This window comes from Homo sapiens, chromosome 2, assembly GCF_000001405.40.
Source record: "Homo sapiens chromosome 2, GRCh38.p14 Primary Assembly".
Lineage (NCBI taxonomy): Eukaryota > Metazoa > Chordata > Mammalia > Primates > Hominidae > Homo > Homo sapiens.
In genome coordinates, this window is record NC_000002.12 from 178,479,559 (window position 1) to 178,493,122 (window position 13,564).

The 13,564-nt window shown below is 40.9% G+C and overlaps 1 protein-coding gene and 1 long non-coding RNA gene across 3 annotated transcripts in view, besides 2 other annotated features; one reads left to right on the forward strand and one right to left on the reverse strand.

Annotated features, from left to right (window-relative positions):
* Positions 653 to 1,292: a silencer, noted in NCBI's record as "silent region_12150". NCBI's record gives its function as "represses an Ori minimal core promoter by ATAC-STARR-seq in GM12878 lymphoblastoid cells {active_cell/tissue: GM12878}" and the evidence as "EXISTENCE:reporter gene assay evidence [ECO:0000049][PMID:35858748]".
* Positions 899 to 13,564, forward strand: part of PLEKHA3 (pleckstrin homology domain containing A3) — a 36,007-nt gene continuing 23,341 nt past the window's right edge. The window contains exons 1-3 of one of the 2 annotated variants that reach the window (NM_019091.4): positions 899 to 1,351; positions 6,083 to 6,199; positions 11,101 to 11,256. In NM_019091.4, the coding sequence (NP_061964.3) occupies positions 1,312 to 1,351; positions 6,083 to 6,199; positions 11,101 to 11,256 (313 nt within the window). In that variant the 5' untranslated portion in view covers positions 899 to 1,311. Of the gene's footprint in view, positions 1,352 to 6,082; positions 6,200 to 9,409; positions 9,457 to 11,100; positions 11,257 to 13,564 lie in introns of those variants that run through there. The other variant, XM_047445577.1, reaches the window with a different exon arrangement.
* Positions 1,787 to 2,140, reverse strand: LOC124907911 (uncharacterized). Its single transcript, XR_007087320.1, has 2 exons — positions 2,050 to 2,140; positions 1,787 to 1,924 (listed from the first exon to the last, which is right to left on the reverse strand). It is a non-coding gene; the product is annotated as an uncharacterized LOC124907911 (long non-coding RNA).
* Positions 2,877 to 2,926: an enhancer, noted in NCBI's record as "active region_16805". NCBI's record gives its function as "activates an Ori minimal core promoter by ATAC-STARR-seq in GM12878 lymphoblastoid cells {active_cell/tissue: GM12878}" and the evidence as "EXISTENCE:reporter gene assay evidence [ECO:0000049][PMID:35858748]".

The following is a 13,564-nucleotide window of genomic DNA, read 5'->3' on the forward strand; positions in this document are numbered from 1 at the left end:
TGAATACCCAAAGACTACCCAAACCAGAAAACCAGCAAAGGCCTTCTGCATTCGCCTGGATTAAGTTCTGGGAGTAGAGGTGCTATTCTACCTCGGTGATGCGAAGAAAAGCCGCAGCACTGAGCCTGATTGATGTGCTTTGCTTAAAGTTTGCAAAATTCCATAAACCTGAAAATTACTGTCGATTATGCAAGATGACAATTGCGTCCAAGCAGGAGTTTCAAAAATCATAAAAGCTAGGGGGAAGTCCCCATTTCTAGACTAAAATTCCGAAGTCGAGTTCCATGTTTTATATTCTAAATAAAATTGTGGCTATCCAAGGTTATCGGCGTGATGACAGTTCCTTGGGGGCCCTCGCCATTCCTTGTCAGAGGACCCCGTCTGCTGCACATTGCCTTCCTAGGAGATAATTTCAGACCCCTTGAATATGAGGAAAATACGAAGCAAACAGAAATAGGAAGGCTTTTATGTATTTTTGAAGAAAAAACAGGATTTTATGTAAAATAAAAACAGGATTTCATGAAGAAACAGGATATTATGTATTTCTGAAGAAAACCCAGGAAAACCCGAGAGAACTAAGTGCCCGCGGGATGAGTGTGCGGGCAGCTCCTCCTTAGGTAGGCACCGGGGCTGCGCGCGCAGCGGAGCTCGAAGGTCTTGTCCCCCGGGGGCGGTCAGCCTGGGCCTTGGCGGCCAAGGGGAAACTTGGGAGCCTCGGGACTGTTGGCCACCGGCCCGTGGGAGGAGTAAAGGCGGCCCTGGCTGGCAGGCCGAGGGTGTGACGCGCCGGCCCGCCCTCCTCGCGCAGCCTCCGGCTAGGCGGCGAGGCCGCAGGCCGCGCCCGCTCCTTCAGCCCCGCCGCCGGGGAGGGGTTTCCCGGGACGATCCGGCCCCTTTCATCCAGGAAGTGAAATCGACGTCGGGGTCAATGAAAACAAACGGGGAGCCCAGGGGGAAGGAAGGCAGGCGAGGAAGAGGCAGCGCCGGGGCGCCGGAGGGAGCAGCCGGGCTGCGGAAGCGCGAGCAGGAGGCCGGTCGCGGGCGCATTTTTGCCGTTGTCGCGGCCGCCGCCGCCGAGGCTTACCCGGGAATGTCTGGGCCCGCGCCTCGCGGCCCCCAAGCTCCACGCTGCGCCCGCTGTCCCGGCCTCTAAAGGCCGCCACGTCCCTGCGGCGCGCGCAGGCAGAAAGCGGCTTCGTGCCGGCGGAGGGGGCCCGGGCGGGCCGGGAGGGGCTGCCCCAGGCCCTGCGCCTACCCCATCACCGCGGCCGGCGCCGGGCCGGGAGGATGCGCGGTGTGGGGCTCTGAAGCATGGAGGGGGTGTTGTACAAGTGGACCAACTATCTCACAGGTATGGGGGCTCGTGTGATGAGGGAAGAGGGGAGAGGCGGGGGGCTGCTGAGAAGGCGGGTCGGGGCTCCTCTTCCTCCGTCTGGCCTCCGCGGACCCTCAGAGCGAATTCGCTCTACTCGATTCCAGGGCTTGTTGAGTCCTTCTGGCCTCTTCAGGGGAGGGTTTGAGGCTGCGCACCTTCTAGAGGGTGGGAAGTGCACCTGCCACTTCTTTGCTAGTGTAATAATACTAATCCTTGCCTCCTGTAGCCTCAGGAACAATTCTCAGTCACCCTACATGTGTTGTTGCGATCTCCGTCCTTATTCACACTTAGTATTCATACTTTAAGAGCATTTTGTTAATAACTGAGTTGTCGGAGTATTGGACTGGAATGGACCCTTTAATTGTTTCAACTACAAGATTTAATTTTAATTCTTTTTTGTATTTCTTTTAATTTCCTTAACATTTTATTTAAAACGTTGTCTTGTTGAGGTTGTTCAAGCTTAGCGAGCATGATTTTGGAAGCTGTCCCCAGATAATATTCTCTTAGGGATTGTCATTGAAGTATCCTTACGTTGGGGAATTCTGTTAACTGAGAAATAGTGGAAGAAAGTGTCAATACACAGAAGGGGAACAGGCAAGTCACTTTCACCTGTGAAGTGGGTTGGAAGGAAAAACTTTGAAGAAATGAGAGACCAGCAGGAAAGGGCCCCTTACCATGACATTGGCAGCCTGTAGGCTTATTTAAAAGCTCCTTAAATTTGAGTTGTAGTCCAATCTCTGCCATCAACCAACAATGAAGGCAAGTCAGTTATTCTTTCAGGACCTCAGTCTGATAAGGCCAGGGTGATTAGTTATTTTGCCCCGGGATGCCTTCCAACTCCAGAATTCCATGACCTCACTAAGTGAGAAGATGGTTTTAACATAAATTTGAACAGTAAACAGATTTTTTGGGGGGGGGGGGTCTAGCATAATAGGCAAATCATGACTTGCTGCCCACTTCTTCGCTCTGCCAAAAGTATCACATCCCTCAGTAATTGTGTGGTACTCTCGACTTGTGTCCACCTGATCTTGTGCAAAATGTGCAGGTAAACTTTTTAAGGCATAAGCACTGAGCTACAGTTATACCTGCTTTTTGATTTATTAGAATGCTAAAGCCAGATTTGTAGCAGCAAATGCTTTTAACATTTATGATACACAGATGTTTTATTTTGTTCAAACTAAAAACTCAATTTATTTCTATAAGTGACATGTTTTAACGGGAAACATTTAAAAGTTAGATAAATATTTTTTATTGGGCATTTTCATTTTGGCCATTGTGAGAGCAGTTATACTGTTTGGTTGAGGTATAGTGTTAACTGTTAAAGACAGTAGAGTGCTTCATGCTTGTAATCCCAGCACTTTGGGAGGCGGAGGTGGGAGGATTGCTTGCTCAAGACCAACCTGGGCCACATAGGGAGACGTGGTCTCTACTAAAAAAACAAAAACAAAAACAAAAAACAGCTAGGTGTGGTAGTGCACACCTGTAGTCCCAGTTACTGAGGAGGCGGAGGCGAAAGGATTGCTTTAGCTAGAGAAATGGAGGCTGCAGTGAGCTAGGATCAGTGAGCTATGATTGTACCCACACACTTCAGCCTGGCTAACAGAGCGAGATCCTGTCTCAAAAAAAAAAAAAAAAAAAGACATTAGCTTGTATGCTTTGAGATGCAAATGCTCATCTCATTGCAAGTGTTCCTAAGCATGGTGTTGTGGAACCATTGGGCCATTACTGAGATGAGTCATAATTTAAGAGTTGAGATGAAACCTGGGCTTGGTGGCGATTTCCTTATCTCCTATGGTACTAAATAACCAGGGGTTGAGCTTTTAATCACATGTGATTTAGATTTTAGTCTTTGCAGGGCATTTAGTCAACTTCTAGTATGCATTGTAGAAGCTGGTTGAAAAGAAATCTTTTGTTTGGAAGAATTTATTTTTAAAAGTTAAATTTGGGTAGATGGTGTGCTGATTATTAATTTTAGTTCATCTTAGGTCATAAGAATGAGCAGCTGTTCATACTAAGTGATCTTTAAGTGTAATGATAGTGTTGTTCAGGCACGGTGGCTCATGCCTGTAATCTCAGCACATTGGGAGGCTGAGATAGGCAGATAGCTTGAGGTCAGGAGTTTGAGACCAACCTGGCCAACATGGTGAAACCCTGTCCCTACAAAAATTACAAAAAATTAGCCAGGCATGATGGCATGCACCTGTAGTCCTAGCTACTTGGGAGGTTGAGGCATGAGAATTATTTGAGCCTGGGAGGCAGAGGTTACAGTGAGCCCACATTGTACCACTGCACTCAAACCTTGGCGACAGAGCGAGACTCTATCTCAAAAAAAAAAAGTGTTATTTGAGAATCCTTTGTAGAGAGTAAGAATTTCAGTAACATTTTGTAGTTTGAGATAAAAAGAATTAAAAAAAAAAAAGAATTTTAAAAAGGGAATACCTGTGAATCTTTTTCACAGATATTACCCTCTGTTATATAAGTGTGTGAACCAATTAGAAATTGTTTTATTAAATATTTCTTCAAAAAGTGTGTAGAGATAATTAACAGGCTTGATTATATTAATGTGTTCAACCACTCACCTTTCACGTTGCTGCAAATTCTAAATGAATCATTTTGCCCAATATTTGTTTTAAAGAGATATTGAATTGCAGTACTGCAGGCTTGCAAAATCATAATTTGTCCTATAGGCACACTAGACCTGGGTGGAGGAATGTATTTTCACCACCCCCTGCTTATAATTTGTTTGGCAAGGTAAATTAGTGTTTGGAAAGATAATGTTTTTATCATTTCCATGCATGATCAATACAATATACTCTCAAAGATATATTGTATGTCTATACTCTCATGGTTAATAGGAAATATCTGCAGGGTGTGATGGCCCACATCTGTAATCCTAGCACTTTGGGAGGCCAAGATGGCAGGATTACTTGAGTCCAGGAATTTGAGACCAGCCTGGGCAACATGATGAGACTTCGTCTCTATAAAAAATTAAAAAATTAGCCAGGCATGGTGGCACTTCTGTAGTCCTAACTACTTGGGAGGCTGAGGTGGGAGCACCTTTTGAGCCTAGGAGGTTGAGGCTGTGGTGAGCCATGTTCATGCCACTGCACTTCAGCCTGGGCAGCAGAGTGAGATCCTGTCTCAAAAAACCAAACAAAACAACAGCAACAATCCCTGAAATATCTCACTTTTGGGGTATTCATTCATTCATTTATTTATTCAGTCACTTGAGAAATAGATTTTTTTGGTACCTCTTATGTGCCAGGCACCATTCTAGTTGCTGGGAATGCAGTGATGAACAAGATAAAGTCCATGTACCAAAATAACTTACCTTCTAATTTGTTTAGGTCTCACTAGGGAATACTCTGTTGTTTCATAAAAAGGAATCTTCCAGGAACCTGAAAGTTGCTGGTTTTTAGTTGCTTTAGATATCTCTCTTTCTGAACTGTATTACTGCATTCCCTGCCTTCCTAAACAGGGTTACAAAGTAAAATTTAATCTTTTTGATGACTCAGTGTTGTCATTTCAAAAGTGTTACAGATAAATCCTTTTGGGGAATTAAGTCCTGGATCTGTATTAAAGTGTAAGGATGACTGACCCATCTCCCCTCTCGGCACTATCTGACCCTGGAAAGATCAAATTGATCATGTGGCAGGCTATGGCAAAAGTGACCGGGATACGAACATCCATGGTTTAAAATGTACATTTTAGCCATGAATATTTGTGCTGAATTGTTATTTAATAGTCATGGAAAGAACAAGGACAGTCACACTGCTCCCAGCATGGTCACCATGTTAATAGTCAGTGAACTGTTGTAAATTAGTAGCATGCTTGATAAGACTCCGGGGAACACCAAGTTTGGCTTCAAAGAGGAGTGGGAATTGGGTGCCAAGGAAAGTCATCATCCTTGTCGTCAGCTTTGGCATGGAGCCAAGTCTGTGATAGATGTGAGCTCTAGTCACTGAATAAATATCAATCGAACAATTGCAGTTTCTAGGATTTCAACCCTAGCTGTGCAACTGCAGACAAGGGAAGAGGGGGTCATATGGGGAATCTGTGTTCTCACCATAGGGTATGTAGCTTCTATTTAAGAGACTGGAATTCATTTAGCACTCATTGTGTTTAAGGGAGTTTGCTTAGAAATATGTATTTTATAAGAGGCACATTGCAGAATTAGAGGGCTAGGTGGCACCTGAGAGGTCATCTTGTTCAACCTACACATTTTAGGGACTGGGAATTTTAGAGATTTATTGAAATGAAAAGATTTGTCCCCAGGGTATGATTATCCATTAAAGAATGATACTATAGGTAAGGCTAGAACCCTTGTCTTCTGTGGCTTTTCCCATAATATCGTAACCCCAACTCTGTTCCTTTTTAGGAAAAGAGGGCAGTTATGCTATACCCGGTTTAGGGCTATTACTGAGGATGGGCCTTATGGGTTGTTAATGAGAACACTGTGAGCTAGAATTAGAAGTATTACTCCCCGTGTTTTTGCTGCTCTGGAGCTTGCTCCAGAAACCTCTCCCAATAAAGTGGAGACTGATGCAAAAACATTTTTGGTAAGGCTTGGTGATTGAAAATTTCATTATCGGAATGTTATTTGAGAGCCAAGAAATAATGTGGATGGCAGGTTTTGAAATCACAGTTTTCTATGTGGTGAAAGTAATGTGTTTCCAATTGACCTTTTGTTATTTATGGTCTTTTTAGGCTGGCAGCCTCGTTGGTTTGTTTTAGATAATGGAATCTTATCCTACTATGATTCACAAGATGATGTTTGCAAAGGGAGCAAAGGAAGCATAAAGATGGCAGTTTGTGAAATTAAAGGTAAGTGAATATACAGAATTAGAGGAATTGGAGGTTAGATAGTCAAGGGTTCTTCAGCATACTCCAGACGAGGAAAAAAAGCATTTCTAACCACGTAGGGATCATCTAATACCATTTATATCCTTAGCAGTCAGGAGTGGCATTTCATCACAGTTAACACAATTAAACACAGTTTTTGATAATTCTCCCTCTACAAATGTATTTTTGAATGGAAATAACTTTTGCTAGTCTTCCAATTTGGATTTGACAAACAATTTCTTGTGGATACTACTTTAGTGTCCACCTTCAGTCTATAAGCATTCTATTTCATTATTGTTGTAATTAATAGAAAGATATTGTAAAAGTTGGAGGCTGAACTCTAAAGATGATGGGGCCAGCTCTGTAGGGTTTTGATAAGGTATGAAGTTGGAGTCATAAACTCTGGTTCTTTGCTGAATTTGGAGGTAAGTTCCTCTGGGTGATAGAGATGGTTTCCTTTTCTTCCAAAAGGGGAGAAATAAAGCAATAGGTCCTGCTGTAATTTTCGTGAAGGAAGATTTTATGGACCATTGATTCATTTGTGTGTGTGGTTGGAGTGTGTGGGGTGGAGGCGAAATCAGATAAAATGGCAGTGAAAAGGACTGAATTCTTCAAAGAGAGTGAAGGAAAAACTAGAGCACCAGGGGAGTGACTGTTAAACTCCTTCCTGGTCGTTTTCATTTCTCCACTCTAGCTTGAATACTTGTCCTTCATGAAGTGTGTTTCCTTTGACGTGGTGAGCTCTGGGTCATAGCTATCAAACAGTCTTCCTGAAAGGTAGCGATTAATCTGACTTTAATTGCCATACATAAGTGTTGTCTTTTAATGTTTTATAAATGGAATAATTCAGTATTTTCTTTTGTGTCTGGCTTCTTTTACTCAACATCATGTTTGTAAAATTTATCTATATTGTTCTGTGTAACAGTAGTTCAGTCATTCTCATTGTACAGTATTCCATTGTGTGAATATCTCACAATTTTGGTATCCATTCTAGTACTGAAGGATTTTTGGGTTATTTCCGTTTTGGGACTACAGTGACTAAAGCTGCCATAAACATTCTTACACATTTATTGAACATATGTGTGCATTTCTGTTTAGTGTATCTCTAGAAGTGGAGTGGAATGCTAAGGCACTGAATATTCATACTTTCAGCTTTAATAGATGTTAAAGAAAAAAGTATTCTTGACACGTTGAAATGGTATGGCAAACTTTATTTAGGACTATTGTGATAGATTTAGGGACTATTGCATTGGAGGAGAGAAATTGGGCTCAACTCCAAGTACAAGGAAAAGTGGGAATTTATAGCCAAGGAGCAGGGTTAGGGGGAGACAGTGTCAGTGGAGGGAAAGTTACTAAAAGGTAAGTGGGGGGATTCTGGCTAAACTGACCTAACAGGATTCTTGCTGAAGGCAGGCTGAGGCCAGGGTGATCAGACATTGCTGGGAAATGGTAGGGAATGAAGAATGTGGTCAGATATCAAGGGCGGGTGATGAAATATGGTGTTAGGGGATTCTGGCTAAACTGACTTAGTAGGATTCTTGCTAAAACTGGATTCTACAAGGATGGAGAAGGAAGCCTAGGTGAGTACAGGATTCAAATGAGCCTGACTAAAATTTGGTCAAGAAGAGAATCTTTTTCTTTTTTTCTTTTTTTTCTTTTCTTTTCTTTTTTTGTTTTTTTTGAGACAGGTTCTCACTCTGTTGCTCAGGCTGGAATGCAGTGGTGTGATCATGGCTCACTGCAGCCTCCACCTCCTGGGTTCAGGTGATCCTCCTACCTCAGCCTCCTGAGTAGCTGGGACCAGAGGCACATGTCACTATGCCCAGCTAATTTTTATGTTTTTTGTAGAGATGGGATTTCACCGTGTTGCAAAAACCAGGCTGGTCTTGAACTCCTGAGCTTAAGCAATCTGCCCGCTTTGGCCTCCCAAAGTGTTGGAATTACTGGTGTTAGCCACTGTGCCTGGCCAATAATCTTTTTCACAGATAATGCCAGATGTTTTCCAAAGTGATTATATAAATTTTTTCTGCAATCGATCAGAGTATTAGGGTTCCAGTTGTTCTGCATCTTTGCCAAAACTTGGTATTATCCATTTAAAAAATTCGGAATATTTCTGGTGTTTGTAGTGGTATCTCATGGTGGTTTTTTACTTGCATTTCTTCAATAACTAATGATGTTGAATACTTTTTTAGATGTTAGCCATTTGAATGTCCTCTTGTCGGGAGTGTTAGCTCATGTCTGTAATCCCAGCAGTTTGGGAGGCCAAGGCAGGCAGATCGCTTGTGCTCAGGAGTTCGAGACCAGCCTGGGCAACAAAATGAGACTCCTGTCTCCACAAAAAGGAAAAAAAAAAAGGGTTGAATGTTGTCTTCTTTTGAAGTCCTCTTTCAAGTCTTTGGCCCATTTTCTAACTTTGGCTATCTTTCATGTTGATATGTAGGAGTTCTTTGTATAGTCTGGTTGAGTCTTTGTGTTGCAGATGTTTTCTTCCACTGTGTAGTTTATGTTTTCATTTTGTTCATGATACCTTTTGAGGAACAGAAGTTCTTCATTTCAGTGAAATCCAATTTGTTAATTTCTTTTATTGGATCCTTTTATGACCCACTGAAGACATCTTCTGTGTTACTTTCTTGAATGTTTATTGTTTTACCTTTTATATTTAGGTCTATAGTAGGTCTGTACTTGACTTAATAGCAACCTTTCCCCCATGGGGATACCTTTGTCACAAAGCAAGTGACCATGTATATGTGAGTCTTTTTCTAGACTGTCTATTCTGTTCTGTGGCCCTGTTTTTGTTGTTGTTGTTGTTGTTGTTAATCCTTGTGCAGATATTACATTGTGTTAATTTCTTTAGCTTTATTCTCTTTGTATCTGATAGCCAAAGTCTCCTAACTTTAGTTCTTTTTCAGTACTGTCTTGGCTATTGTAAGCCCTTTGCATTTCCTTACAGATTTTAGAACTTGCTTATAAATTTCCACAGCTATCTGCTGGAATGTTTGGAATTGTGTTGAATCTACAGATCAATTTGAGGAGAATTATATTCTTGATGATATTGAGTCTTCTGTTCCATTAACTCTGTTTAATTAGATATTTAATTTCTCTCAGTAATGTTTTGTAGTTTTGTGTTTAGAGGTCTTGTCCATCTTTTCTGATGTTTTGGAAGCATCATTTTTAAGTTTGTTGCCTTTTCAGGTGACAACTTTGGAGGGGACCACCCTTGATTGGATGCATAAATTCTGGTATGTTTAAAAATGAGTCATCTTATTTTAGTTTCATCTTGTAGCAACATCATTAGAAATTAGAGCATTGCTTTCTTTTAAAGTAGGTATTGGTGCTTTCACTAGTATTGGCAAGTAGCAAGGAAGAGTTACTCTTATAGCTTTAGGAGTTCAGTAGTTTTACCCTAGCCTAGAAATCTTTTGCATTCATAATTGATTGTTGCATGGTTGTATGTTTCAGTGTCTGCAACTAAGAATGACCCATATAAGTAGAATAATAAGATAGCAACATTTCTGTGGCACTTACTTGCCATAATACACTAAACATCTGGTCAATATTTATAGCAATTAATTATTTAAGTTGGGGCTTCTGCCAGATTTTGCTGGGACCCTCATAATTTGGCTCCTCCCAGCTTGTCCATTCATGAATATGAATTTGTTTTCTTTTCTTTTCCTTCTTTTTTTTTTTTTTTTTTTTTTTTGAGACAGGGTCTTGCTCTGTTGCCCAGTCTGGAGTGCAGTGGTATGATTGTAGCTCACTGCAGCCTGTACTGGGCTCCAGCGATCCTCTTGCCTCAGCCTTCCGCCTCCCAAGTTGCTGGGTCTACAGGTGCTGGGAGTACATGCTTGCACCACTATACTGGCTAAACGAGTATGAATATTACTTTGCATTACAATGGAAGCCTCTATTTATGCTTGTTTCCTAATATTCTCAGTACATTCTGTGTTTATTTTCTCATTTAAGCTTCTTCTCATTCATTTTCTTAACCAAATCCCGCTTTCATCAAACCCTTCTTCTTGAAGCCTTTTTAAATTACTTTCTCTCATAATTACACAAGAAATCTCTGCACCAAAGAGTTAAACATATGTGTATTCTGATTGTTTTTGGTGTGTCAGTTTGTTTCTTGGTTAAATTGTCAACTGTATAGAAGCAAAGACACCTTTTTTCTTCCCCTCTATCTTCTCTTCTACTAGCACTGCTCTGAGCTGAGTAAATATTTGTTGATGAATGACAGCTTAACACAAATTTTGTTTTACAACAAAGACTTGGGATTGGCTCATCATAATTCCTGATTAGCTCTCTTTTCTCAGAGCATCAAAGGAGGTGTGTGTGTGCAGGAGAAGAGGTAGAAAGAGGGGAAGAGATGAATGTCTTCAAAATATACATGCCTTCCATGTGTTATGCTATGATCCATAATTAAGGGCATATCATAGAGTTACTTTTCTGACAGAAGGTGGCTGTAGTTGTCATTTATTACATTCCTTCTATGTGTCAGGCACTATATATGAAAACAAAGACTTTGTTTTCAAGGAAATCAGTAAAAAATATGTGATAGTGTAACATTCATTGCAGTTGTATTTAATAGGATAAGTGGCCCCAAGGTGGGGGAGGGCTGTCACTTCTCAGTAGTTAGTATGTCCCTGTTTTCTTTTTCATACTCTGTCATCGCTTTGGCACCATTGTTACCCCGGGTCTATATGAGAATGTTGATTTGGGGAGTGCCACTGGGTGGCCCCTCAGGGAGCAGCACTGCCTGCATCATGAATGATAGTTCAATGTTTTTGGTATATGAAGCATCTGATACTGTGTGATTAGATGATTATTTGATTACCCTTAAATTACTTAAGTCTATAACTGTATTTCCCCTTTGTTTATCATCATAGTTCATTCAGCAGACAACACAAGAATGGAATTAATCATTCCTGGAGAGCAGCATTTCTACATGAAGGCAGTGAATGCAGCTGAAAGACAGAGGTGGCTGGTCGCTCTGGGGAGCTCCAAAGCATGTTTGACTGATACAAGGACTAAAAAAGAAAAAGGTAACTATAAACTTTTCCCTTGTGGTGAGAGTACTTTCTTAAATATAAATATAAATGTAACTAAATTAGCCTGTCCACTTTTAGTATCTATCCCAAGGAAATAATTAGAAATGTAGATTTACGTATATCTTTATCATAGTAAACATTTTGTAAAAGCTATAAATTTAGGGGAATGGCTCAATAAACTCTTTCTTTCTTTTTTTTTTTTTTTTTTGAGATGGAGTCTCACTCTGTTGCCCAGGCTGGAGTGCAATGGCGCGATCTCGGCTTACTGCAACCTCTGCCTCCTGGGTTCAAGCGATTCTCCAGCCTCAGCTTCCCGAGTAGCTGGGATTACAGGTGCCTGCTACCATGCCTGGCTAATTTTTGTATTTTTAGTAGAGACGGGGTTTCACCATGCTGGCCAAGCTGGTCTCGAATTCCCGACCTCAGGTAATCCGCTCGCCTCGGCCTCCCAAAGTGCTGGGATTACAGGCATGAGCCACTGCGCCCAGCCTAAACTCGTGCTTTCACTGGCTGATATATAGACAGTAAGATGTTGAAAAGGAATTTCAATGTGAGAAAATGCCCAGGGTTAAATGATCATTGAAAAAAGCAGGATTCAGAATTATGTGTATTGTTAGTATTCATTGGCTGGCTTAGGAAAGGTATGTAAGAATTGGTCAGATTGTTACCTTTGGAAGTGGAATTTGTGGGAAGGAGACTCAGTTGTCACTGTATATACCCTTTGGTATCTTTTGACTTTACCATGTACGCATATTGCCAATTCAAAAAGATTTTTAGAAACTGAAAGCAAAGCAAATGATTTATGTTATTAGTTCAACTATATACAGATATAATGTGAAAATGACAATTTCTTGATAGTGAGATTATAGTTTGTCTTAGTTCATTTTCTGTTGCTTTGACACAATACTTGAGACTGTAATTTATAAAGAAAAGAGGTATGACTCATGGCCCTAGAGGCTGGAAGTTCAAGATTGGGCAGCTGTATCTAGTTGGCTTCTGGTGAGGGCCTCATGCTGCATCATAGCATGGCGGAGGAAGCAAGGGAAAGCGGGTGTGTGCGGAAAGAGATCAAACCCAAGAGGCAGCCTCGATTTATAACAACCCGCTCTCATAGTAACTAATCTAGTCCCAAGAGGTTGAGAACTCACTCACTCCTTTGACGACCTAATCACTTGTTAAAAGTACTACTTTCCTAACACTGCCACACTGGGGACCCAGACTCAACATGAGTTTTGCTGGAAACAAACGATATTCAAACCATAGTACAGTTATTTGATTTTTCTTTTCTATATTTTTTCTATTTTTCAAAATTTTTTATTAAGTATGTATTACTTATATAATTAAATGCAAATTAATTACATTAGTGAAAGCAAGTAAATTATAGGTATTGAGAAATGAAGGCTGAGGATTGAATTTATAACAATTTTGAAATATATGAAAACATTACAGAATATAGCTACAGGTAGGATAAGAAGGAATGAATATTCACAATAGCTAAAAGATGGAAATAACCCAAATGTTCATTGGTAGAGGAATGGATAAACAAAATATACAATAGAATATTACTCAGCTTTAAAAAGCAAATTGTGACACATGCTACACTGTGGATGAACCTTATAGACATTACAATAAGTAAAAAAAGCTAATCATGTGGGGTGGGGGGAGGGGGGAGGGATAGCATTGGTAGATATACCTAATGCTAGATGACAAGTTAGTAGGTGCAGCGCACCAGCATGGCACATGTATACATATGTAACTAACCTGCACATTGTGCACATGTACCCTAAAACTTAAAGTATAATAATGATTAAAAAAAAAAAAAAGCTAATCACAGAAGGACATATAGTCTATGATTCCACTTATATGAAATACCCAGGGCAGTCATACTTATACAGACAGAAAATAGAATGTTGGTTTCCAGGGCCCAGGGGGAGGTGGAAACAGGGTTAGTGTTTAGTGGGTACAGACCTTCAGCTGGGGAAGATGAAGACGTTCTGGAGATGGATGGTGGTGATGATTTTACAAATACGAATGTACTTAATGGCACATTTTGAAGTGAATACTTAAAAGTGGTTAAAATAGTAAATTTTATGTTTATGTATACTTTACCACAGTTTTTTTTAAAAAGGAGAAAGAATAGGCTTAAATATGAGCAGGAATTGATTTAGGTTAGATTAAATGCGCAGATAGAGCTGCTTTGTCCATTCTGGCAAAAGTGGCTTTGTGGCTAGGACCAGAGAGCAAGACCACTGGGGCCTGGCCCAGGGAGTGTGGAGAAGCACCAGAAATTTACTCTATGAAT